Source organism: Homo sapiens, chromosome 10, assembly GCF_000001405.40.
Source record: "Homo sapiens chromosome 10, GRCh38.p14 Primary Assembly".
NCBI classification, from domain to species: Eukaryota; Metazoa; Chordata; class Mammalia; order Primates; family Hominidae; genus Homo; species Homo sapiens.
The window spans coordinates 43,158,585-43,186,478 of NC_000010.11; the positions used below are offsets into that span (position 1 = coordinate 43,158,585).

Below are 27,894 nucleotides of genomic sequence, written 5' to 3' on the forward strand. Positions count from 1 at the left end.
TTCACAAATAGGTAAAAATCCTGCAGGTCTAGTTTAATACCCTTTATGTTTAAGTGAGTAAAATCTGTCTTCCCATTGAATTTGTAAACTTTGACATGGAGACGTCTTTGTTCCTAACTCTTTCCTTTAGGTTATTATCGCACTGAGAGAGATAAGGGCACACAGTATGAACTCTTTTTTAAGAAAGCAGACCTTACGGAATATAGACATGTGACCCTCTTCCGCCCTTTTGGACCTCTCATGAAAGTGAAGAGTGAGATGATTGACATCACTAGATCAATTATTAATATCATTGTGCCACTTGCTGAAAGAACTGAAGCATTTGTACAATTTATGCAGAACTTCAGGTAACTGTCAGGGCTTAATGATTAAGCTACATTCTCCTAAAAAAAATCACGTTTTACTCAGATTTCCTTAATTTATCTTCACCGATTATAATTACTTAGAATAATTTTACAGGCTTTAGGGGAACTTTATTTTTTTATATTCTCTCTTTTTTTAAAGCATGTGTAGTATATTGTGTTATAGACAATTTGAACTATGAAATAAATTAAGAGTGACACCTATTAGAAACTAAATTTGATGGCCTTGATAATTGTTTTGAATTCATTTTAAGACAAGTTGAATTTTTAAAAAATCAACTTTACTAAGGAATAATTTACATGCAGTAAAATCCACATATTTTAAGGATATAGGTATCATGACTCTTTTTTTATTTTTATTTTTTTTTTTGAGACAGGGTCTCACTCTATCACCCAGGCTAGAATGCAGTGGAGTGAGCACAGTTCACTGCAGCCTCAACCTCCTGGGCTCAAGTGATCCTCCTGCCTCAACCTCCCAAGTAGCTGGGACCACAGGTGCATGCCATCTTTTTTATTCTTTGTAGAGAGAAGGTCTTGCCATGTTGTCCAGGCTGGAATTTAATGTCTTTTGACAAACGTATACACTCACGAACCACCACCCCAATTAAGATACAGAATACTTGTGTCTCACAAGAAAATCCCCTTGAGAATGATTTGAGTTTTTTAATTGAAATACATTTAGACATACAAACATTAAACTAAAAATTGGAGAAAGTTATTTCAGCTTGCAAAGCAGAGAATTTGTAAAGTTTTTTTATGTTATCAAATTTGTATATTTTAAAATGCTGAAGTGTTAAATAATTATCTACACATTATGAAAACTATTTGTGGAAAATGCTTTTTGATTTAACAGTTTCCATGTTTCTAATACTTTAATATTTTTAATGTTTTAGATACTTTGATATACTGGTTTAATGCTTTGTGATCCTAGTCTTTATTCTCATATTGAAATTGTTGGATTTAAAAGGTTAATTAAAACTGGTCTGCAGCTGAATGTCTGGCAGTCATACTTCCAAGTGAGATTTACTGTTCCAAATAGCTCACTTGAGATCCGATTTCCTAAAGCATTTTTTTATTGCCTTTCTTGGAATTACTTTCAAAGGCCACATTATTATTTACAGTAAGTAATCTCAGTCATGGCAAATATTTATTCCTTAATGATAGTTACAATTTTTGGAATTAGCCAGTCTGAAGACAAAATAACTCTTAATCCAAAAGGTCAGTATTTATTTATGTGGTTCTGAACCAGTTGAGTTTATTTCCTTGAATAGCTTGTGATTTGCTTCTGAAAGCAATCCAAAAGCAAAAGTTCAAAAAATGTTTTGAAATAATGGCAGCAATGTCAGACTGCTTCCATGGCCCTCCAAGGGGTGCACTCATTCAGGCATAGACCTTGTGCCTTCCATAATTCATCAGTATTGCCACATTTATGTTTACTACTGTGTCAGTAATGCCTCATTTTCTTGTTAAAGCTTCATGTGGTTGCTTTCTTAATGAATAGTGCCTCATGTTTTCTTGAATAAACTTTTATTTTTCACTTCTGTTAGGGATGTTTGTATTCATCAAGACAAGAAGATTCATCTCACAGTGGTGTATTTTGGTAAAGAAGGACTGTCTAAAGTCAAGTCTATCCTAGAATCTGTCACCAGGTTGGTGAACCACATCTGCAGTGAAGGCCTTGATATATAACATTGCTAAAAGAGAATTTCAGATATGTAATGAGTTAATAATTTTTAGTAACTATTATTTAAAAATTGGCTGAGCATGTGGGCGGTGGTGGTGATGATAAGTTCCTCATTTCACATGCAACCCTACATGACTCAACTTCCCTTCACTGCTTAGCAAGCAGCCTGGCATGATGCTTTCTCTGTGGCCCACTCACCTTCTGTGTATTTGCTGCTGCTTTCCTTTTTTTAAAATCTAATTCCTTCACTTTGACATAATCATCTTCTGAATTTGTCTCTTTTTTGTCACCTTTCTTTCCTTCCATTTCCTCAGGCTCCTTCTTCTCCCCCTGCTAACAATGTTGAGGTCTCCCATATCCTTAAGAAACTCCCACTCAACTCTGAAGTGCCCAGCCACTACTGTTATGTTTCTGTCCTTTCACAGCTCAACATCACGAGACAGTAGTTCATAGCTAAGCAAGTCATATAGTACCTGGCACATAGTAGATGCTCAGAGGTTTGAATGGATGAATTAGTAATCCCTTAGTACTTAATTATTAATTCTTTAGCCTCTCAGCCTTTTTCTTTCTAAATCATGGGCCCAAAGATAACGACTTAACTGCCAAATTCTTTTCTGTTATTCTTTTTCATTGCTTTTTTACCTTTGACAACCTAACCAGTATTTCTGTCTTAAAATGTTCTTCTTGTGTTTGTAAAATGTAACTATTTTGTAAATGTAAGTATGATGTAATGTAAACTATTAGGTTGATTATCATCTCTAACCACACCAGCTCTATATCCTTTACTTGCTTCTTTACCTTTCTGCCAGTTGTGGCCATTTGCCAAGAGCCCAGATTTGATCAGCCATTCTTCTCAAATCATTCAACTCACATTCATTGAGTCCTGCCTACTGTGTTCCAGGTACACTGCTTGGGAGTTTGACTGGGGTAGTTGGAAGAAGAGTGGGCGTAGATGAGTGAATCTGAGTCCCTGACCTGCAGGGATTCTCAGAGCCTTGATGTATATAGACACAATTCACTGTCTTCCCCTTCCCTACACCAGCTCCTCCTCCTGATGGCCCTCTTTCAGTTCAGAGTAAAACCATTTTCACCATCTGGGCATGACTTCTGAGAGCCACAGTCTTTTACTTATTCTTTGCCTCCAGTTACCTCTAATTAGTTAGTTCCTACTTAATTCACAGGACCTCTTCTCTATCTCTTCCTTGCTACTGCCACCACCCTAACCCTGGTTCCCCCTCCCTCCATTTCTTCCCTTCCTGTCCCTCCTTAGTGTTTTTAGATCACCTACTAAGTGCCACAAGCTCACACTGGTAATACTGAAGTATTGTCAAGACACTTCTGTGGCAAATGGTGTAAACCTACCTTGAGCTTGCTTGAGGAAAATAGGAGCAGTATTGAAGAATCTCGGATACCTCCCAGAAATAAAGGGATTGTTACAACCAAATTTGGGGAAGAAAATCAAAACAACTCTTGTTTCTCAGGGATTGGAACCAGAGACTTGAATACCATCAAAATTCTCGTCTCCTTGTCTGTTTTTCTCTGCATGTTGACTTCATTCTCCTGTTGCAGATTGGCTTCTTCCACATGGTGAGGGATATGACTGTTGGCGGCTCTGGGCTCACATCTTCTCAGCTTTGCCATCAGAGAGGAAAGAGCTTTCTCCCAGCTCCAGTTGAGAAAATCCCAGGGAAGGACATTTTGCCCACTCTTGAGCCAATCACTATGGCCAGGTTGGGTGGGGGTATTGGGACTGGCCCAGCTTAAGCCTGGTCTCCACCCCTAGGAAATTACTGTGGTTGGGGTGGGCAGAGAGTGAGGGGTATTCTGTGATCAGTGCCTCCACTTGATGCTGAGTATGTGGGGTGGCAATGGGCAGTTTTCCCCCAACAGAGGAGAGATTTATATTCCTTAAGACGGGGAGAAGAGTCCTAGGCATTCAGAGCACTTGGAGTCCACTCCATGCACTATTTGAGCCTTTGTTCCATCTCTCCATTACCCATTCTGTACTGTTGTAAGTGTAATCCTCCTAAAATGTTACTTTTTTGATTAGGCTGCACCCTAGTGCAGTGAGTGATTCTCCAGCTTCAGTGCCAGAGTCACCAGGAGGACTTGTGAAAATGTAGAGGCTTCTCTCCAGCCCTAGCATCTGATTCAGTGGGTCTGGCTGTAGTCTGAGAGTTTGCTTCTCTAACATGTTAACACAGGAAGCTGATGCTGTGGGTTTGGGGGCCTCACTGTGAGAACCACTGCCCTAGCAGAAAAGTCCTGCTGATTCTCTTTGCCTTTAGGATACTGACCAATTTCTTTAACCTTGCATGGGAGGTACTCTTCACTCTGACCCTTCTCTCATTGTTCCCATTTTAAGATTCCGTTGACCCTTATCTCACTGTTCCCATTTTAGGGTCCTTTTCTACCAATCTGATTTGTCTGATCCCTTTTCTCTAAAATGCTTTCTACATTCTTACCTCTTTGCCTTTGAGAATAATTATTTTGAATGACCTTTACACTCACCACTGAATTCAACATTTTAACCAAGGCATAACTCACGTTCCACTTCTAACATCTTCTCTAACTACTCCAGACATGAGCGATGTATTTTTCAGAACTGCTGTTCATTCATTCATTCAGCAAATATTTATTGAACTCCTACTCTATCAGGGGACACTGCATCCATAGTAATGAACAAAACAAAATCCCTGCTCCCACAGAGTGGGAGAGACACTGGAACAAATATGTCTAGCAATATGAAGGAAAACAGCTGAGGAAGAGGATGGAGATGAAGGAGTGGGAGGTGGCAGCTGCTTCTCAAGTAGTATTAGGGAGGATCCCTCTGATAAGGCGACATGTGTGCAAAGACCTAACGGATGCAAGAGGAGAGTGATCTTTGTGTGTGTTATCCATTTAGAATGCATTATTAACAGACATTACAGCTATTTTTCCATTTGTGTATTTTTCAACTCCCCAAAAGGTGTTTAAGATTCCAAAGGTCAGTGGCCACTTTAACACTTTTGGAGCCTCATACCACCAACATGTGCCTCAAATTGGGCATTTGGTGAATATCTCTCCCTGATGATAATCATACACATGAAGCTGGGATTTTCTTTCCCTTTGTGAATGTAGAACCAATATAATCAAATATTTGAAGTGTAAAACATATTTTGTAAGCTGTGTTGAAGGAAGAAAATTGGTAACTTTAAGTGGGACTTATCATTTGTTGTGTGTGCTTTCCTCATAGTGAGTCTAATTTTCACAATTACACCTTGGTCTCATTGAATGAAGAATTTAATCGTGGACGAGGACTAAATGTGGGTGCCCGAGCTTGGGACAAGGGAGAGGTCTTGATGTTTTTCTGTGATGTTGATATCTATTTCTCAGCCGAATTCCTTAACAGCTGCCGGTTAAATGCTGAGCCAGGTGCGTAAAATGTTGGTAGATGAGCTGACTATAGAATTTAGAACGTTGTCAGCATGTCCTATAGTTTGAATCAAGTGATTTTGAGGGAGAAGTTTTAGTTAAACCCCAGTATTTTTTTAAGTTATATTAGGCATAATTTAACTGGAATACTAAATAGGAAATTGAAAATTTGACCCTTTGAAATTCATATCCTTTGTTCTCTTGGGTCCAACTTCCAGTGACTACATTTGAAGCCAAATATGGAAATGCAGAGGAACAGGGTATCTACAAATTGATGAGGTGGGAGCAGTGCAGGTCAGAAAAAGAGCTAAGCAGATGGTATGGAGATGTGTGTGAGAGTCTGAAGCACTCAGCTTTGGGCATATAGCGTCCACACATGCAAAAATACCCCCATGCATGTGTGCACACACACTCACATGGAAGTCTAGATGCAGATAGTGCTTGGTCTCCAGACTGTGCATTTTGGGATGATTTACTATACTTTGCTTTAAGTTGTAGATATTTTTTGAAAATTAATGAGATAGCCAGGTGCAGGGGCTCACGCCTATAATCTCAGTACTTCGGGAGGCTTAGGCGGGTGGATCATGAGGTCAAGAGATTGAGACCATCCTGGCCAACATGGTGAAATCCCGTCTCTACTAAAAATACAAAAATTAGCTGGGCATGGTGGCGTACGCCTGTAGTCCTAGCTACTCGGGTGGCTGAGGCAGAAGAATTGCTTGAACCTGGGAGGCAAAGGTTGCAGTAAGCCAAGATCATGCCACTGCACTCCAGCCTGGTGACAGAGTGAGACTCCATCTCAAAAAAAAAAAAAAAAATTAATGAGAAGATGACATTTTTTGAAATCAAATTTTAAATGCTTTTTAGTTCATTTAAAAGAATTAAAAGTATTAAAGAGGCTGGGGGTGGTGGCTCATGCCTGTAATCCCAGCACTTTGGGAGGCCGAGGCGGGCGGATCACGAGGTCAAGAGATGGAGACCATCCTGGCTAACACAGTGAAACCCCGTCTCTACTAAAAATACAAAAAAAATTATCCGGTCGTGGTGGTGGGTGCCTGTAGTCCTAGCTCCTCAGGAGACTGAGGCAGGAGAATGGCGTGAGCCCAGGAGGCGGAGCTTGCAGTGAGCTGAGATTGCGCCACTGCACTGCAGCCTGGGCGACAGGGCGACATTCTGTCTCAAAAAAAAAAAGTATTAAAGAATCTCAACAGGATGAGTAAGTTGAGGAAATCTGTTATACAAACATGGTGACTATAGTTAATAACAATGTATTGTATACTTACAAATTGCTAAGCCAGTAGTAGCATTAAAAAATGTTCTTACCACCAAAAAAAAAAAAGGTTAATTATGTGAGGTGATGATATATGTTTATTAGCTTGATTTAGTCATTTCGTAGTGTATGAATGTAGCAAAACATAATGTTGTACACCATTTTTATTAGTCAATTAGAAAAACATTGGGGTGGGGGGGTGCTGCTGAGCACAGTAGCTCACACCTTAATCCCAGCACCTTGGGAGTCTGAGACAGGAGGAGCACTTGAGTGCAGGAGTTCAAGACCAGCCTGGGCAACATAGTGAGTCCTAGTCTTTAAAAATAAAATTTTTGGCCAGGCATGGTGGCTGAATGCTTTTTAGCTCATTTAAAAGAATTAAAAGTATTAAAGAGGCTGGGCGTGGTGGTTCATGCCTGTAATCCCAGCACTTTGGGAGGCCGAGGCAGGCGGATCACCTCAGTCGGGAGTTCGATACCAGCCTGGCCAACATGGTGAAACCCCATCTCTACTAAAAATTAGCCAGGCGTGGTGGCTTGTTCCTGTAATCCCAGCTACTTGCGAGGCTGAGGCAGAAGAATTGCTTGAACCTGGGAGACGGAGGTTGCAATGAGCTGAGATCGCCAGCCTGGGTGACAGAGCAAGACTCCGTCTTAAAAAATAAAAATAAAAATGTTTTAAAGAATCTAATAGCAAATGGGGTTTTTTTAATGTAGAACTATTCATATGCAAATGATTGCCTTCTTATTAATTAGGTTAGAGATAGTTTTCAGGAACTCTTTGAGAACCTAATGAATAAATGAAGGTTAGGTTTATTTTACAGCATGAAATGCAAAATGTGAAAGTTGAAGGAGACGTATTTGCTTAGTTTAAAAGAAATATTTTATATCCAGAAATAGATTTGCCTCTGGAAAATTGAACTCCCCATCCCTAAATGTATTTGAACAAAGGTAGAATGAGCATCTGCTAGGGATCTTGTAATAAAAAGGTTGCCATGTTACTCCCACACTTCCTGACAATCACTGAACACTTCATGTGATCATATCTGATTGAAGCCAGCCATAGCAAGGGTTGCGTCTCCTGAGGGAAGATGGGCTAGTTAGCCTTTATGGTCCTTTTAGATCAGTCAGTTTGAATGCTGATGACAAGGTCTTCTCCAAGGGCTATTATATCAAGTAATTTTAACCCTTGTCTTCCCGACTTTTCCAGATTTTGGTTCAGATTTATTCTATATTTTCATTATTCTCTGCATATCTATTCATTGTACAGTATTCTTTGAATTTACTCTTTCTAATGATTCATTTTTGACAGGTGGATTTAACAGACGTTTCTAAGTTTCATAGTGATTATCAGAGGTTAATCTACGTTTATTACTACTGATTAGATGAAACAATGAGTAATAAATGACTCACGTAATGAATACACATCTCCCCAAAGTCAAAGGGAATAAACGTGAAGCACCCTTTAGTTTGTTTTTTCCTCTGTTCTTTTGCAAGGTTATAGTTAACCTACTGATATGTTACAAAATCATCATATTCATCAAATTAACATGATGTTCTGTAGCCTGAATATTAAAAAATAGATAAAATCATGTATAATAAGACTTTGATAAAACTTAATAGATATTGCAATAAAGAACAGTTCTTCATAACTTCTTTTTATGTTACAAACCTATATTTTAATTTGTAGGTAAGAAGGTGTTTTACCCTGTGGTGTTCAGTCTTTACAATCCTGCCATTGTTTATGCCAACCAGGAAGTGCCACCACCTGTGGAGCAGCAGCTGGTGAGACTTTCACATTTTCAGTTATGAAAGACTCTAAAGATCTTTTCTAGATGTTTGTTGTGTAAGTAGAAAACAAAGTTTCAATAAAAAACTGTATTTCCATGAGCAAAGTGTTAAAGAAAAACTATAGTTATTGTAAGCACATTTCCATAGTTCCTCTTTATACCCCCAATAAGATGCTTTTCACATTTATTGCTTCAGAATTAAGTGTAGGGGGAGCAGAGTTTAGGTCATAAAGGAAAACCTCATGTCCCAGAATGTGGAAATTGTACAGTCATTTCTACCAGCTTATTTTTACTAATACTAAAAATTTGATTTTAAAAACCCTACTAACTAGAAATTAAATCTACTCTGCTAAATAAGAGGGAATAGTATACTCTGGTAAATTACCTGGAAAGTCATAGAATATAAATGCCATATATCAAAACTTACAGTTATTGCCAAAGCTAATTTTATGTAAGTTTTTTAAAATTTTTAAATAAACATTATTTTATAATAATTTAGATTTAGAGAAGTTGCAAAGATAGTACAAAGAGTTCCATACTTCACCCAGTTTCCTCTAATGCTAACATCTTATGTAACCATGGTACATTTGTCAAAGTGAAGAAATTAATATTGGTAAGTTACTGCTAAGTACACTAGGATTACACCAGTTTTTCTACTAATGTCCTTTTTCTGTTTCAGAATCGAGTCGAGAATACCAAATTGCTTTTAACATAATCTTTTATTATTAATACTAAGAAAAAGTAGAAATGATTAAGAAGTCACTTTAAGATGTTTAAAAAAATGAAAAATAACTTCAAGGAAAGTAATAAAGGCAGAAGTTAATAAAACAAAAATAGATTGAGAAATATAGAAGCTTATGTTTATGTACAAAAAATTTAATCATAAAGTAGACAGATTTCAGGTAAAAAGGAAAACATTGGAAATTAGAATATGAAAACATTGAGATAAATCAATTTTATAGGGTAAGTTTTCTAAATTATAAATAAATGAAAGATTTGAGAATTTATAAAATATGAACACAGGCTAAGTTCATGTTAGTATTTTATGAATAAAAGAGGTGCAAGTGGGCCGGGCATGGTGGCTCACGCCTGTAATCCCAGCACTTTGGGAGGTCAAGACGGGTGGATCACAAGGTCAGGAGTTCGAGACCAGCATGGCCAATATGGTGAAACCCCGTCTGTATTAAAAATAAAAAAATTAGCCAGGCGTGGTGGCACGAGCCTGTAGTCCCACCTACTCAGGAGGCTGAGGCAAAAGAATCACTTGAACCTGGGAGGCGGAGGTTGCAATGAGCCAATATCACGCCACTGCACTCCAGCCTGGGTGACAGAGTGAGACTCCATCTCAAAAAAACAAAACAAAAAAAAGGTGGAAGCTCTGAAGAAATTAAGAGCCATTTAAAAAACAGTTATCAAAAAGTTACCCTGTAGGTATATAAATACAATGTTTTAATTTATAAGCTTTTCCAGACTCTCAAAGAGCAGGTAATATTAGCACCATATGATGTACTTAACATATTTTATGAGGCCACCATTATCTTCATATCAACACTTGGCATAGTACACACAGACACACACACACACACACACACACACACACACACACGCCTCTACCTTATCTATAGGCCAGTATTATGAATATAAATACAAATAGGTTCAAAATGGCAAACTGAGCACCCACGTCTGCCATATCTGACGGTGAATTATTCTGAAGAAAAGGGTACATTAGTACTGGAAAATGAGAGAAGGTGTTAGCAGCCGTAAGTCTTGAGAACTTTCTGTAAGACGATAGCAGTTAGCGTAAGATTTCTGGAGGAGAGAACAGACTAGAATGTGTTCAAGAGAACAGTGAGTGAAGATGGGGCTGCTTTGCATCCTCTGAGCTCATAGCAGACAGAATGGAGGGAGCCTGGAATAAACATGCTTCTCTAGGTGTGCTGAGAAGCAGGCATCACAGGGATTGACCCTCAGTCTAAGGCAGTGCATGTGGTCCCTGGAGCTGGAGAGGCTGGTCGGGGTGGCTAGGGAGCCCCTAGACTACAAAAGTGAACTACTGTTAGCGCATTCCCCCTGAGACCCTGTTCTAATCTCCTTGACTGTGACTGGAGATAGGCCATTGTAATCAAAGCTAACAGCCATGGACTTCTGAACAATACTTGAAACAAAAGTGAGTAGCAATTAACCAAGACTAACCAAACATTTGAGGAAAAACAATACTATGAAAGAGGCACCAAGTGTTAATACACAGAAAAATTAACACATGAGTATATGAATACAGATAGAAAGTAATTTTAAAATATATCTTTGAGGAGATTAGAGAAAATGTTAAATTCATAAAACAGGATTTGTTGCTTTAAAAAATCAGAACTTGGAAATTGTGAAAATATTTTTAAAATCAGTAAATGGTCTGAATAGCAGAATGGTTACAGTTGAATCAAATTTGTAAACTGGAAGACAACCCAACTGGACACGTAAAGTTCACGAGATAACATGAGAGAAAAATTAAGACAAGGAAGATCAAGCCAGAAGCTCCCAAATTATTAATAGGAGTTCAGAAAAGAGAGAATATTGAGTGGAGGAAATGGAAGAAAGTTTCCAGAGCTAAGCAGAAACAAATCTTCTGGTGTTTGGAGAACAACAGTAAAAGGACAATTCTAATAGCTTCCAGAGACACTAAAAATAGCAAAACCCAGTTTGTTCACAAAGGAGTGACAATCAGATTGGCATTCGTCTTCTTTTTGAAAACACTGGTGTTAGAAAACAATAAAGCAATACTATGAAAATTCTGAAGAAAAGTAACTTTGATTCTAGAATTCATATTCAACCTACTATTTTAGGACAAAATAGACATTTTTGAGCTTTCAAGGACTCAGAATTTATTTCTCAACAGACCTTTGTAATCGAGTCCAGCAAAATGATAAATGTATACATTGAGAGAGGAGGACCTGAGAGTAAATAGTGGTGAACAACCAAAAAAATTAAGTCTAAACATTTGTTGATGTAATAGTGTAAATAGTTATGTTGACATAATAAAAAGGCAATTAATACCAATTTGGGATTAAGATGTCAGCGGGTTATGTACATGGTATACTTATGTGTATTACCTAGCTGTCAGCTGAGAGGGCCTAGAACCAGTGACACCCTAACAGTAACAAGTACACTCAGCTTCCAAATCTTAGTTTCTAATACTATTCTCCAATCAAACGAGCCAGAGGTCCACGGAGAAATGGTTGATTCCAGGGCAGGGGCAAAAAATATACAAGAAGACCCTGGAGCATCTTACAGTGCCAGAAAGTAAGAAAGCACTCAATAAAAAGATAGGGGGAATATGTCGAAGGGGCACAGGAGCCAACAGAAAGAGCTCCCAGTGCCCAAGCTGGAACAACCTGAGCAATGAAATAAATAACTTAAACCTGGATTATAACCCAAAGCATCAAGTAAATAGCCATGAGTCTATACTGATACAAATGAGTGAGTGAATGAGCAGATAAATATTGAGTGACTAGACTAGATAGGAAAGAAAAGTTAAGTCTTCCTTACAGAATTCCAAATAACTTATGTAGATACTCCCTCTTCCAGTAGGTGGAACTAGGGGACTCACTTTCAAAGAACATAGTATGGAAAGAAAAAACAAACTTTTCACGGGAGAAACCCAGCAGACACCTTAACCAAGGGATACCATGTACCCATGACATGACATAATGAGAAGGACACTTTAGCTCACAGTCCTCTTCCAAAAACGTAGATAACTTCCCCAGGAAAGTCACAGGGAAAGCTGCAGCAAGCCCACATTGAGGAGCATTGTACAAAATACCTGACCATTCTTCCTCAAAACTGTCAGGGTCACCAAAAACAAGACTGAGAAACCATCATAGCCAAGAGGAGACTAAGGAGACATGACAACCAAATGCAATGTGGTGCCCTGGACTAGGTCCTAGAATAGAAAAAAAAGACAGTAAAGGGAAAGCTGGTGAAATCCAAATGAAATCTGGAGTTGAGTTAAATAGTAATATAGCAATGATGGTTCCTTAGTTTTGACAAATGTACCACAACAATGTAAGATGATAACATTAGGGGAAGCTAAAACTGGATGAGGGGTATACAGGAACTCTCTTTACTGTTTTGCAACTTCTTTGTAAATCTAAAATTATTCCAAAATAAAAGGTTGTATATTAAAATTAATTAAAACAAAAAGAGGCAAATAAAGTCAACATAGAAGCGTGAAGGGAATGTAAAAGCATGCTAATACTCTTTTTTTTTTTTTTTGAGATGGAGTTTCGCTCTTGTTGCCCAGCCTGGAGTGCAGTGGCATGATCTTGGCTCACTGGAAACTCCACCTTCCCGTTTCAAGCGATTCTCCTGCCTCAGCCTCCCAAGTAGCTGGGATTACAGGCACACACCACCACGCCCAGCTAATTTTTGTATTTTTAGTAGAGATGGGGTTTCACCATGTTGGCCAGACTGGTCTCGAACTCCTGACCTTGTGATCTGCTGGCCTCAGCCTCCCAAAGTGTTGGGATTATAGGCATGAGCCACCGCACCCGGCCAAAGCATGCTAATATTCTTGCCTGGTTTGGAGGGTTGTAGGGGAAGAATGATTTGAATGCTGATTCATTCTAGGTGTTGCATAGCAACTTAAGTTTAAGCACTTCAAGTTCTAGTTTCACCACTTGTAACCTTTGCAAGTTGCTTAACTTTTCTAAGCTTCAGTCTCCTCACTTAAAAGACAAAAACTTGTTTTCCTTGATGTTTAAAGCTATATTAGAAGTAAATAAGAAGGAAAAAAATGGGTAAGACAGTTGATAATTCACATATTTAAATAGTCAGCCTTACTAGGAATAATTTAGAACAGCAGTATAATGCTTTGTTTCTGCTGTTAGGTCACTGCTTTTAAAAAGCAAAGCCATGTGAGCAAGACTGGGGGATGGGAGCTCCTCCGTCGCTTCTGTTGGGGATTCAGGCCAGTTCTCTGAGTCGAGTTCTAAACAGATTCATCCCTCTGATCCAGTAATTTCCACCCCCAACAGTCTTTCCTGGGGAAGTAATCGAGCTACATGATGGTAATATGCATAAATTGATAACATTAAAAGCAAGCAAAACTCTAATAATAAAAGGATAAATTGAATTATGGTACATTCTCTGGTGAATATTGCATATCAAGGAAAATGTGAAAAATGTAAATACAGCCGTGTAAATGAAGAGGAAAATGTAAAGCTAAAAAGCGGGAAATAGCGTATCTATATTTTAGGTAACATTTAAATGATGATAATAGCTAATATTTTTATGAACCCCTTACTATGTGCAGGGTACTTGTTCTGTTTTGCCTACACATTAATTCATTTAATCCTCCTAACAACCTCTGAGGTATGTAGTATTACTGCCCCATTTTTCACAGCTGTGCTGCAGTCGAGTGCCTGTCCAAGTACACACTGGCCTGAGTAGGCCCAGGAGGCTGGGTGATGTGGCTCCGCAGCCTCCACTCCTGTCCACTGTGCACACTGCCTCTGTTATATTAATTCATCAAATATTGAGGGTCCCTTTGATGCCACGCACTATCCACCACTGGCACCCTGACACTTAGACCCTAACAGATATGGCTGTTGCTCGTGAGGATCTTTATTTATTAGGAGGTGACAGAAAGTAAAATCAGATAATGCATGCCACGTGGATCATTAAAACAGACTGAGTTGCAAAGAGTGACTCCGTGGTTTCTGTGGCTTGTTTGGTCAGAAAGGTGTTTCTGAGATGAAGCTGAGCAGAGCTGTCCAAAGAACAGGAAAGAACCAGCTAGGCTGTGATTGGGGGATAGTGGTTTCAGGCAGAAAGAACAGCTACTGGGTTTCCTAGGGTGTTTGGAGCACAGCCGGTGAGGGGCACATAGCTGGGCCAGGGCATGTAGAGCTTGTTCAGCCTCTGGAAGGCATTGGGATTTTATGCTAAGTATGTTGGAAAGCCTTTGGAGGGAGAATGGATTGTGTGTGGCTCTGGCTGGCAGCAGCCAGTTAGGCTTTCACAGTAGACAAGGGGAGATGATTGTGGCTTGGGTGACAGTGTATTATAATTACGGAGAAAGGTTTGGATATGATTCAGAGATAGGGCTGACAGAGCTTGCTGTTGGATTAGATGTAGGAAATTAGCAAAGGAAAGGAATGGGAGAGCAGAGATTGGGATTCAACTGGAGCCATAGTAGCCATGTGTTGTTTATCAGACATCCAAGGGGAGGTGCCAAATTGCTAGTTGGCTACAGGGATCTGGCATTCTGTGAGAGGCCAAGGCTTGGGTATATAGGTTATGTGTGGATAACTGCATCTCCCACATGCTTAGGAGGCCAGATAAAACAGTGCAAGAAAATATTAACAATAAGGATTATGGACAATTTGAGTTTCCTTCTACTTTCCTTTGTGAAAATGTGTTGCTTTAAAAATCAAACCAATGATTCCTTTTTCCAAGTCTGATAATATTTGAAGAATTTTTAGAGAAACTAAGTTACAAAGTTATAGTACTTATATAATCAGAATTGGCATGGTGTAGAGATGTCAAAGTGGGTGTTTTGCTTTTTAATACTTTGTATCAGGGTTATATTTTAACAAAGAGATAAGAATATTAGAGACAGGAGTGGTGGCTCACACGTGTAATCCGAGCACTTTGGGATGCCGAGGTGGGTGGATCACCAGAGGTCAAGAGTTCGATACCAGCCTGGCCAACATGGTGAAACCCTGTCTCTACTATAAATACCAAAATTAGCCAGGTGTGGTGGCGCACACCTGTAATCCCAGCTGTTCAGCGGACTGAGGCACGGAAATCGCTTGAACCTGGGAGCTGGAGGTTGCAGTGAGCCAAGATTGTGCCACTGCCGTCCAGTCTGGGCAACACAGTGAGACTCTGTCTCAAAATAATAATAATAATAGAGTCTAGTCTTCATTTTGCCACTAAAATTATGTCTCTCTATATATTTATTTATTCAACACGTATTTATTGAAAGCTTGTCATGTGCCTGGCATTGTTCTAGGTGCTAGGAATATAGCAGTGAACAGAATCCACAAGTCCTCCCCTCAGGGAGCTTTACATTCTAGAAGGGGAAGAAGTTCTCCCCCTCAGCTCAAAAAAAAAAAAATTGAAAAGAAAAATGCCAAACTCATCCATCAGCTCCAATCTGAGCTGAGCCCTCAGGGCTGCCTGGTTCATTATGTGTTTTCCTGTTGATTCTCCTATTCTGTACAGCAGCAATTTCAGACTGTGCCCACTCTTCTCAAAATTTGTCACCTCTGCAGACCTTGATATTCCTGCTATCTGCAGGAATTTCTGTGTAGGTGCCTTACAGATCACTCAGATTCATTATGGCCAGAACCAACTCCATGTTGTTCCTCTCTGGGCTGGCCCTTCCCCTGGGCTTCATCTTAGGGATAGCACCATTACATACCCACTGTTCAGGACGGAAGCCTGCTGTCATCTTGGTTGATCCTTCTCCTTCACTCCCCACTCCTGCCCATTCAATCACTTGCTGACTTCTGTGAAGTCTCTGACCTAAATCTTTTCCACATTCCACATCCATACACTCTTTTGCTTTTGGTACATACCACAGTAGCACACACTAGACTAGCAGCTTCCCATCCCTAGTTATAGCTGTTGCCTCTTTTCTTTGTAGCATGTATCACCACCTAAAATGTATATTTATTTATTTACTATTTTCCCACCCAAACAAAGGCGCTTTGATGGCAGGGACTTTGTCACCTCTGTTTATTGCTAAGCCTCAGTTACTAGAACCATATCCAAAAGATTAAACACTTGTTGAAAGTATGAATAAAATAAAAGGTTTATCAGGCTTCAACTTGTAAGCAGAAGTGATTCCAAGGACTCAGTGTCATCAATGCCCTGGTTTTATATTTCTTTCTCTACTTAGACTTAAGTGGTGACAGCCTCATATTAAAGCTGGTTTCTCGCATGGTAGAAAAGGACTTTGGCAGTTCCAAGCTTCATAGCTGCATCGTGCACTAGAGGTCAACAAATGTTTTCTGTAGAGAGCCAGATAAGAAATGTTTTAATCTTTATAGGCCATACAGTTCTGCTGCAACTACTCAACTCTGCCACTGCACTGTGAAAGCACCCATAGACAATTTGTAAACAGATCAACACAACTACGTTCCACTAAAATTATTTACTAAAGCAGGCAGCAGGCCAGATTTAGCCAGAGGCCATCGTTTGCTGACCCTGCCCTACGACCAAATGTCCTTTCTAGTGAGTCTCTTAGAAGAACGAAGGAGCTTTGTTTTCCAAAGTTCCCAACAACCACCCTGGTTTACCTACTTGGCCTGATTTTTTTTTAAATACCTATTAGTGAGCCAGTAAGTAAGTGAGCCACTATGGTAAGTGGGGTGAGACTGTCTCACTAGTATAGAGACTCATGGCCCACTCCGAATCTACTGGTGACAGCAGCTTCCCTGAATTCATGGGCTGCCCAGGGCCAGGTAATTACCAGAACAAAACTGTACCAATCAGGAAGGGGGTTGGGGGAATGGATACTGGGTAGGCACCAGATAAAGTCTACTGTGTAAGGTTGATCCTGTGTGTTACAATTTGTTTATGCAACTGTTGTCCTAGAATGTAAGCCCCTTGAAGTCAGGCACCACAATGATAATTAGTAACCTCAGCTTGCACCTTGTACAGGCTTTGAGTTCTATTTTTATTTGTTTTGTAAGGATTTAATAACATAAGTGCATGTGATCCTTAATCAGTCACATAAATGACAGGAAAAAAGTATACATTAGAAAATAATTTGTTTCATCGTTGATTAAAACTTCTGCTTCTTATGGAATTAAATTGTTTTCTGTTTTTTTTTTTTTAACTAAGGTTCACAAAAAGGATTCTGGCTTTTGGCGAGATTTTGGCTTTGGAATGACTTGTCAGTATCGTTCAGATTTCCTGACCATTGGTAAGTATACTTTACATTTAAGGATAGGACTTTATTTACTCCAGACTTAATGGTATTTTGCTAAAAGGTCTCAGATTTGAGTGTTTTCCTACTAAAGTATGAGTGTCTAAGGTTAGCTAAAAAGAGAAACTGGATATACAAAAGGCAAAATAAGTTTATAATTAATGTTTTGAATAGGAAAAAAATGGTCATAAAAATAAAGTATAATATTTACTTGTTCCTTTAAAATCAAAACACCTGTTTTTAAAAATATCTGTTTAACTTGTTACCCATAGTTGCAGGTGTTTAGAGTAGTCTTACAAAAGCTTTCTCTATAACTTTACTGTTGTGCCCATGGGTTGTTACAGCTGGGAGTAATCTTGGTTATCTAGACCAAGGACTTTCACATTTTTTTGAGATGAAACCTCCTTTACTTGTCTAGTGAACTGTTACACAAAATCCCAGTATTTAATACAAATGAAAGAAGACCTGCTCTTTCTAGCGCGTCTTGGAATCACACCTTAGTCATGCATTCCCCTAAGCCTAAAGATGGCCCATGAATAATTTGTTCTAACTATCCTGCATGCTCTGTTGTCCAGGCTGAAGAGCAGTGGCACAATCTTGGCTCACTGCAGCCTCTGCCTCCCAGGCTCAAGCGATCCTCCTACCTCAATCCCCAAGTAGCTGTGACCACAGGCGTGCACCACCACACCCAGTTAATTTTTTTGTTTGTTTTGTAGAGGCGGAGCTTCATTATATTGCCTAGGCTGGTCTTGAACTCCTGGGTTCAAGCAATCTGCCCACCTTGGCCTCCCAAAGTGCTGGGATTGCAGGCGTGAGCCACCATGCCCAGCCCCTAGCTTCAGTCTTACCCAGCAAAATATAAAGTGTCAAAGAATAGTTTAATAAAGCAGGCTGAAACCTGATTCCATGTCTTCTGATTCATTTAGGGCTAGCTACCTTTCTACAGCATAGAAGTCATAGAATATATTTTATATACATTCTAGGTCCATATCACATTCGTTTTTATAACCAGCCTTTTGTTTTGGAAATCCCCCCACCTTGTCTCCTTATCATTGTAACACTTGAATAATGGAAAATCAGGAAATAACAATAAAAGGGGCGTTAAATTAAACTGATGCTCTTTTCCTTGATTTCTTGCTTAGTTAAGCAAGCAGCATTTCACTATTCCTCAAAAATAGATTTGTGTACATTTTTTCAGTATCTTGAATGCTTTGAGTTCCTTATCTCTTTTTTATGACAATTTTATTGAGATATAGTTTACATATCATAAAATTTATTAATTTAAAGTGTACGGTTAACCAGGTCATGTAGCTATCACCACCATCAAATTTAGAGCATTTCACCCCAAAAAGAAATCCCATACCCATTAACAATCACTCCTCACATCCTACCAACCCTCTTTCCCCCCAAACTTAGGCATCTACTGGTCTACTTCCTATAGATTTGCCTCTTCTGGGAATTTAATAGAAAGCAAATTGTACAATATGTGGCCTTTTATGACTGGCTTCTTTCACTCACATAATGTTTTCAAAGTTCATCCATGTTGTGACATGTTAGGTACTTCATTCCTTTTTATAGCCAAAAAATGTTCTATTGTGTGGTTATACCACATTTTGTTTCTCCATTTGTCAGTTTATATGCATTTGAGTTGTTTCTACTTTTTGGCTATTATAAATACTGCTGCTGTGAACATTTGTGTTTAACTTTTTGGGTGGACATAGATTTTCAATTCTCTTGGACATATGCCCAGGACTCTGGCTGGGTCATATGGTAATCCTGTGTTTGACCTTTTGAGAAATTGCCACACCGTTTTCCAAAGTGGCTGCATCATTTTACATTCCCACCAGCAGTGTTTAGGAGTTCCAGTTTCCCCACATCCTCATTAATACATGTTATTATCTTTTTGTTTCTAGTATCACCCATGATAGTGGATGTGGTATTGATTGTGACTCTGATTATAATTTTTCTTATGATTAATGTTGTTGAGCATCTCTTGATGTGTTTATTGGCCATTTGTATATCTTTAGTGAAATGTCTGTTCAGATCCTTTGCCCATTTTAATTGGGTTATGGAGTTTCTTGGGCTTCTTGAATATGTACATTAATGTTTTTCATCAAATTTGGGAAGTTTCAGCCATTATAGTCATCTCTCAGTACCTGCATGGGATTGGATCCAGGATACCATGTGGAACCAAAATCCATGGTCGATCAAGTCCCTTATGTAAATATACATATTTTCATATTACCTGTGCATATCTGCCCATATACTTTAAACCATCTCTAGATTGCTTATAATACCTAATACAGGCCAGGCACGGTGGCTCACGCCTGTAATCCCAGCACTTTGGGAGGCCGAGGCGGGCAGATCACGAGGTCAGGAGATCAAGATCATCCTGGCTAACAAGGTAAAACCCTGTCTCTACTAAAAATACAAAAATTAGCCAGGCGTGGTGGCAGGCGCCTGTAGTCCCAGCTACTTGGGAGGCTGAGGCAGGAGAATGGCATGAACCTGGGAGGCGGAGTTTGCAGTGAGCCGAGATTGCACCACTGCACTCCAGCCTGGGCAACAGAGTGAGACTCCATCAAAAAAAAAAAAAAAAAACCCTAATACAATGTAAATACTATGTAAATAGTTGTTATATTGTATTTAAATTTTTATATTTATTGTTATTTTTTATCGTTTTTTTCCCTAATATTTTTGAACCATGTTGGTTGATTCTATGGGATGTGGAACTCATGCATATGGAGGGCTGACTGTATTTCTTTGAATACTTTTTCTGCTCCATTCTCATAGTTTTCTCCTTTGACACTCACTGTATGTATGTTGGTACATTTAATGGTATCCCACATTTTTCTTAGGCTCTGTTTATTTCTCTTCATTCTTTTCTCCCTCTGTTCTTCAGATTGCATAATTTCTATTGATCTATCCAAGTTCTCTGATTGTTTTTTCTGTTAGATCTACTGTTGAGCTACTCTAATGAATTTTTATTTCAGTTACTATAGTTTTTAACTTCAGAATTTCTATGTGGTTCTTTTGATATATATATAATTTCTTTATTAATACTCTATGTGATGAAACATTGTCATCTTCTGTTACTTCCTTAAGTGTGACTTCTTTTAATTCTTTGAACATACTTACAATGGCTGCTTTGGAATTTTTGTGTATTAAAGCTAATGTCTGGGCCCTAACACAGGCAGTTTTTGTTGCTTGCCGGTTTTTTTTTTTTTTTTAAGCGTATGTCACATCTTCTTGTTTCTTTGCATTCCTCATTATTTCTTTTTCGAAAACTAGACATTTTAGGTAATACACTGTGGCAACTCTGGATACTGATTTCCCTCTACCACCACGGCTTGGTTTTTTTTTTTCCTTGTTTATTTATTTATTGACATGGCTGGACTATTTTAACAAATTATTTCTTCCTCCTTCCCCGACCTTTTGGCAATATGAAGCCTCTGCTGTTGCTCCTCAGGGCCTGTGCAGTTATCCTAGGATGGCATTGGATTTAGCAGGGCTCTCTTTATCTCTTTCCATGCCTCCATTGGTATCACTCCTATTAGACTCCACTGACTGTTCACTAATTGCTGTCTTGTTTTTGACAATGCTCTGGGGCATAAATTGCTCCATAATCTGTCCCTACTAAATTGGGCCCTTTTGCAGGGATAGTTTTTGCAGCAAGTCTTTGAGATTTGTTCAGACCCCAGGAGGTATATTCTTACTATCTCTCTCTGTGGTTCTCTCTAGTAAATTAGCTGGCCTACAGTTTAGCTGTTGCCCTCCTGGAGTTACCAGCCTCCTCTTAATTGCTTACTACCAAAATCTCCATTATTTTCAAGAGGCTGGAACTTCTCTAAACTCTGAACTTCTCTACATTCTATTTTAAATAAAGTCAGTTCCTTAGGGAAGAACTTTGGAGCACTTTGTTCTTATGGACTTCCTCTCCCCCGGGGGAAAAAATCCATGAGGTTTTGCCCTGAGGATGGGGACAGTGACACACTTATTAAGCAGAGTGACCACCTCTGCCCTATGAGCAGGACACTGGGTAGGGGCAGGAGGACCCCCAGTATTCTCAGCTGGCCACACCTGGAAGTGGAGCCTCCACCCTGTTGCTGTGGGCTGGGTGAAAAAGAGCTGCACCTGTTTAGAACTTAGACTCTTTATTTGGAGCTTCTGTTCCCTTGTTTCCTTTCTTCCTGGTATTCCCATTATACATATGTTACATCTTTTGTAGTTGTCCCACCGTTCTTAGATATTTTGTTCATTTTATTTTCAGTCTTTTTTTTTCTTTGATTTTCTGTTTTGGAAATTTTTATTGTCATATCCTCAAGCTCAGAGATTGTTTCTTAAGCTAAGTCCGGTCTACTAATGAACCCATCTAAGGCATTCATTTATTTCGCAGTGTTTTTGATCTCTAGCATTTTTTTAAATTCCTTAGATCCATCTCACTGCTTATGTTCCGCATCTTGTGTGTTATCTGCTCTTTCCATTAGAGCCCTTAGAGTATTATACATAGTTGTTTTAAATTCCCAGCCTGATAATTCCAACATCCCTGCTGTATCTGAATCTGGATCTGGTACATGCTCTGTCTGTTCATACTGTGTTTTTCTTAACTTTTAGTATACCTTGTCATGTTTTCTGTTGAAAGTTGGACTTGATATACTGCGTAAAAGGAACTGCAATAAATAGGCCTTTGATGATGTGGTGGTGAAGTGTGGAGGGAGCGGAAGTGTTCTGTAGTCCCATAAGTAAGTCTCAATCTCTTAGTGATCCTGTATCCCAGACTCTGAATTTCACACATGCTTCTCAGTCTCCCCTCCTCTCCTGGACAGGATGACTAGAAGGGGCTCTAGTTGGGTAGATTTCTTCCTCCAAGTCAGTTAGGCACTGATAAAACCCCAGCAGGTTAGGCTCTGGTTAAATAACTTCTCCTAAGGACAGGCTTTGTTAATAATGACAACATGCTGTGGCATACTTTAAAATGATTACCTTTTCCCCTTCCCCACTGCTGGACGCATTAAGAGATTTTTCTCTGATCTTCACCACTGAGGACCTAATAGAGCTCCTAGAGGTAAAACTCACATGAGTATGGGGGTCCCAATATGACCAGGTCCCCCTGGAGTTTTTAACACTCAGACTTACCTCCCCTGAGCCTCCAGCAATTTGTCGATTACAGTTAGGGTTTTCCTACCTGGGTACTGGTCCCCACAGAGATTTCTGCTCCAGTAAGTTGGAATTCTTTGTATCTGCCTATCTGTCTCACCAGTTTTGAGGGCAGTGGTTTACCCTGTGACCTCACTTCTCTGTGAGAGACCTAAGAGGAGTTGTTGCTTTTTCAGTGTTCAGCTTTTGACTTGTTAGGATGGAGTGATGACTTCTAGCTCCAGGCATGCCAGACCAGAAACTGAGAATGCCCCATTTGTTTTAAGTATATGTACCATCTCTAATATTCTAAGAGCTTATATCTACAAGGAAGAAAAGCTGATATGTATCAGACATAGCATTTAGTAAAGCTCTGATTGTTTAATACTTTTCAGAGATCCCCAGATTATTGTCCATCCTGTTAATGTGAAATTAAGTGGGATAGAATTATTTGACAGGAGCCGGGCATGGTGGCTCGAACTTGTGGTCCCACTTACTAAGGAGGCTAAGGCAGAAGGATCACTTGAGCCCAGGAGATGGAGGCTGCAGTGAGCTATGATTGCACCTCTGCACTCCAGCCTGGGCAACAGAGTGAGAACACATCTCTGAAAAATAAAAATTATTTGACAGGCCAGGCACGGTGGCTCACGCCTGTAATCCCAGCACTTTGGGAGGCCGAAGTGAGTGGATCATCTGAGGTCAGGAGTTCAAGCTTACGAAGATGACGGGATTAAGAGATTAAAGTAAAGACAGGCAATCACAAGGGTATTGATTGGGGAAGTGATAAATGTCCATGAAATCTTCACAATTTATGTTCAGAGATTGCAGTAAAGACAGGAGTAAGAAATTATAAAAGTATTAATTTGGGGAACTAATAAATGTCCATGAAATCTTCACAATTTATGTTCTTCTGCCATGGCTTCAGCCAGTCCCTCCATTCGGGGTCCCTGACTTCCTGCAGCAGCCCACTCCAGTTAGCCTTCTGCCCCATCACTCTATCAGAATTGTTCTGGGGAAGTTTATAAGTAACATTTATGCTGCCAGGTCCAGTCAGTTCTTCTTAAATTCTTCACTGAATAGCACACACTTGACAACTTCTTCCTCAAGACACTTTCTTCACGTGGCTACTACAATGGCACCTTTTCCAGAATTTTCTCCCTCACCTGGGGCCACTTCTCAATCTCATTTCCTGACTTAACTTTCTTTACCTCTATTTAACCTCTAGAAATTGGCATTTCTTAGTGTTTAGACCTAGGCCCTGTTTTCCTTCCAAATTCCTTCAGTAATTTCATTCATTCCTGTAGCTTTAAATAATCTATGGACCCATTCTCAAATTTATATCTCCAGCTTGGCCCTTTCTTCTTTTTCCACTCTGGGGAGTTTTTCTATAGCCCAGAAAAGCGTGTGTCTCAAAGGACAGAAAATGTGGCTGGTCGCAGTGGCTAATGCCTGCAATCCAGCACTTTGGGAAGCCAAGTGGGCGGAACACTTGAACCCAAAGTTCGAGACCAGCCTGGGCAACATGGTGATACCCCATCTCCACCAAAAAAAAAAAAAAAGCTGAGTATGGTGACATGCGCCTGTGGTCCCAGCTACTCGGGGCTGAGATGGGAGGATCGCCTGAGCCACGGAGGTCGATGCTGCAGTGAGCCATGATCACACCACTGCACTCCAGCCTGGGTGACAGAGTGAGACCCTGTCTCAAAAAAAAAAACAAAAAAAAAAAGAAAACATAAAAAGTTAATGGTGGTGAGATTATAGGTGACTTGTATTTTCTTCTCCTTTATTTGACTTTTTGTAGATTTTCTACAGGACTTTGAAATTTACAAAGTGTTCTTAAATATTTAACCCCATTTTGATACTGTCAACAACCAACCTTGAGCTCCTTGAGTCCAAGTGTCAGCTCAAAACTGGACTTCCGGTGACTGGGAGTCACTCCTCCATGCCAGGTGTCTCGTGCTACCTTTTTGCTGAACCATCCCATCCCTTTTGAAGCAGAACATTTAAAATTTTATATATATCCCTGTGCTCTGGCTAATAATAGGCAGTTATTTATAGTGTCAATTTTGATCTTACAGGTGGATTTGACATGGAAGTGAAAGGTTGGGGTGGAGAAGATGTTCATCTTTATCGAAAATACTTACATGGTGACCTCATTGTGATTCGGACTCCGGTTCCTGGTCTTTTCCACCTCTGGCATGAAAAGCGCTGTGCTGATGAGCTGACCCCCGAGCAGTACCGCATGTGCATCCAGTCTAAAGCCATGAATGAGGCCTCTCACTCCCACCTGGGAATGCTGGTCTTCAGGGAGGAAATAGAGACGCATCTTCATAAACAGGCATACAGGACAAACAGTGAAGCTGTTGGTTGAAATCATAATTAATGCGTTACTGTATGAACCACAAAACAGCACTATTTATTTAGCCTTACTTCTACTTCCAGATGCAGTGCCTCTTTTGGAGAAGACATGTTTATTTTTCATGTTCTTTCTGACATTACTTTAGCAATTCAACTTGATGTGAGAAGAAAAAACAAATGTTTCAACACAAAATCTCTGTTTTGTGAGAATACTGCACTATGGAATAATTGACAAATTGAAATCTCATATTTGTCCCAAAAGTTGTTTTGAGTTAGTTCTACCTGGTGCCCATGTTCTGATTGTGTGTGGGATTGCATGGTGTCCTGATTGCATCTAGGTGGAGCGGATGGAATGTGCTGGGCCACTGTTGGGTGGAGAGCAGCACATTCTTACAGAGGAGATGGAGCGTTATGAGCATAGTATGTGGATAGGTATCTTCACCTGCCCGCCCCTGAGTCAGCCTCCTTGACTTGATAGCTTGAAGAATCCTTTTCCACTGAAATAGAGGATAATTAATTGACACATCTGAAATCCCCAATCAATCAATCAAGAGAAAGGTAGAACTAAAAACTCCTTAACTTACTGTTGCTTACACCCCTGAAAGTCTGTTTTTAAGCAAATGGGTAATAGTAGAAAATAGGTTAGAATCTATGGCTTGATTAAAAATATGTTATTACATTATCATGTTCAGGATTAGGATTAGTAGTCAGTTGCTGTAAACTATTTTGAACAAACAGAAAAGAACACGGAAACATTTTTAACAGAGCATTTAATTATGTTGGAATACAGGATCCTAGCTCTGTCTGGGAACATTAGTTTATTTGAGCCAGCTCTATCAGGGTCTTCCCATGGTGGTTCAGAATAGATGAGCATAGCATGGTTTTGTTTGTTTTTGCTTTCAATTTTCTAATTTGGCATGGATCCATATGTATTTACTATCCTTTTTCTAATATATTAATATATGCTACATTTGTATTTGCATTACTATAATACTTTGAGTTGAAAAAGAGTTTCATTGTGGAGAGAAAAAGCAAATGGTATGCCACAAGATCACTCTGATTTGAGAAAAGGGAGGAGGGGAAGATAGTCTGAATGGAAATCTGAAATACGGAATGTTTTAGAGAAATATGTCACTTGCATATAGAATGTTTTAATTGAGGTATAAATTAATGAGACAAAGTGAAAAAGAAATTATATTCAGATAGGACTGCACTACATTATTTGTCACACATGGATCTGTTACCATCAGGTCAATTCCTAGTATGCATAAATTTTTTAACCCTTTTAAAAGAGACCTATGTTGAAAACCCCTGAAAATTCACTGAAGAAAAATCATTACTCTTTTTCTCAGTAAATCATATCATCTGAAATATTACAAATTTCAAATTTCTAGGTGCTATATTAATTCAATATTACAATAACTCTTACCTAATTATTCTTACAAGTTTTAAGTTGTGGTAGTTTAGTGATTTTTTTAAAAGATGTGTGAAATGTTCTCTGCAAAATAATTCAGGCCACTGTCTCCTTTTATATATTATTATAATTATTTATTATGAAGACCAGTGAATTACGATATTTAAAGTGAGAGAACTTAATTATTTGCAAAGGTAAGTTACAGCTTGTTTTTTGAGAGAATCAAATGAGTTTACTTTTGTTCCTGTTGTTTTTAACTAGCTTTAAGTTTAAAGATGGAAGCTAAGCAATGGAAATGCTATACGTTTTTGACATTTATTAAATGGTACCAATAAAGTATTTTATTACCAAAAGTTAAATGAAAATGTGATAAATTTATTTCTATTGTAAAGTATCATAAAGACAGAACATTACGTATAACATGTAATTGTGTACTTTAAAAATGAAACACGAGTGCCGCAGCTGTTCACGTTAAAATATGGGGCATTACCAGGGGACAGGCCCCTTGTGCCCCTTCTTGATCACCTGTGCTCACCCTCTCCATAACAGTCACACTCTGATTTTTATGATCGTTTTTACTTGTTTTTCTTCTTAGTTTTCCCAGTTACGTATCTCCCAATAGACTGTTTTGCCTGGTTTTGAATTTATATACATTATTATTTCATTATATATTCTCTTTCATTCAGTGTTTTTGAGGTTCACTCATATTATTCTCAAAATTAGTTCATTTTTATTATTGAGTAGTATTTCATTGTACTGTAGGGAGGGGAAAAACTCCCTCCCATCTTCTCAGGGTCCCAGCTGGCCTTGAAGATTAAATTGGCATAGGATAGATTAACAAGAGAAAAGCATATAAATTGATGTAATACAAATTTTATGTGGTGCAGGAGCCCTCATAAAGAAATAAAACCAAAAGAAGTAGAGTCAGTTACTTACATACTGAATTGGACAAAGACTAGTAAACTGTGAAAATGTGACTGTATTTTGCGGGAGCCTTAAAAAATAGTTATTCTAACAAGGTCTGTACAATATTCTCCTGGTCTCAAACTTCTCGTCATTGAAGATAAAGATGTTTGTTGCCTTTTCTTCCAGTATAGAGAGTGTCTTTCACACTGGAATCCATCTCCTGCTCTTAAGAAACAGCACAAAGGTCAATCACCTTTTTGCACCTGCTGTTTTTCATGTGTCTTTAATTTAAATAGTATGCCGGAATGGCATATTTTAACCCCTTCAGTATGAATGTACTACTATACTTCTTCTACTGTTACTAGATACTTGGGTTGTTTCCAAGTTGTTTTTATATTCTCTTGTTGGTAACTATTTGGGTTGTGTAGATTTTTGTGGTTTGCTTTTGCTGTTGCATGCGTGTTGTCGTGAACATCTCCTGTAAGTGTGCCAGAATTTCTCCAGGAGTAAAAATGCTGAGCCATCGGTTGTGCACATGTTTAACTTTCCAAAGTGGACCACCTTCCACCACTGGGTGAGTTCATTTTGCATCCTTGACAGTACTTAATTTTGTCAGGCTTATTAATTCT

At 39.0% G+C, this 27,894-nt stretch overlaps 1 protein-coding gene across 11 annotated transcripts in view, besides 2 other annotated features; it reads left to right on the forward strand.

Moving 5' to 3' along the window:
- The window catches only part of CSGALNACT2 (chondroitin sulfate N-acetylgalactosaminyltransferase 2), a 46,864-nt gene extending 20,140 nt beyond the window's left edge, over positions 1 to 26,724 (forward strand). For 3 of the 11 annotated variants that reach the window (XM_017016388.3, XM_047425441.1, NM_001319654.1), the window contains 5 exons: positions 131 to 347; positions 1,910 to 2,011; positions 5,282 to 5,460; positions 17,367 to 17,448; positions 24,666 to 26,724. In XM_017016388.3, coding sequence (XP_016871877.1) covers positions 131 to 347; positions 1,910 to 2,011; positions 5,282 to 5,460; positions 17,367 to 17,448; positions 24,666 to 24,675 — 590 coding nt within the window. In that variant the 3' untranslated portion in view covers positions 24,676 to 26,724. Of the gene's footprint in view, positions 1 to 130; positions 348 to 739; positions 781 to 1,909; positions 2,012 to 3,615; positions 3,777 to 5,281; positions 5,461 to 8,419; positions 8,515 to 13,399; positions 13,578 to 17,366; positions 17,449 to 24,665 lie in introns of those variants that run through there. The other 8 variants (XM_047425439.1, XM_047425438.1, NR_135077.2 and 5 more) reach the window with 7 other exon arrangements.
- Positions 1,197 to 2,396: an enhancer, noted in NCBI's record as "P300/CBP strongly-dependent group 1 enhancer chr10:43655229-43656428 (GRCh37/hg19 assembly coordinates)". NCBI's record gives its function as "activates an origin of replication core promoter dependent on BRD2, BRD4, P300/CBP, MED14 and CDK7 cofactors, with strong dependence on P300/CBP, by STARR-seq in HCT116 cells {active_cell/tissue: HCT116}" and the evidence as "EXISTENCE:reporter gene assay evidence [ECO:0000049][PMID:35650434]".
- Positions 14,281 to 14,450: an enhancer, noted in NCBI's record as "experimental_12290 CRE fragment used in MPRA reporter constructs". NCBI's record gives its function as "activates a minimal promoter by MPRAs in K562 erythroleukemia cells, with activity observed for both the introgressed and non-introgressed 10:43668398 variant alleles {active_cell/tissue: K562}" and the evidence as "EXISTENCE:reporter gene assay evidence [ECO:0000049][PMID:34662402]".
- Positions 26,725 to 27,894: the final 1,170 nt, after the last annotated feature.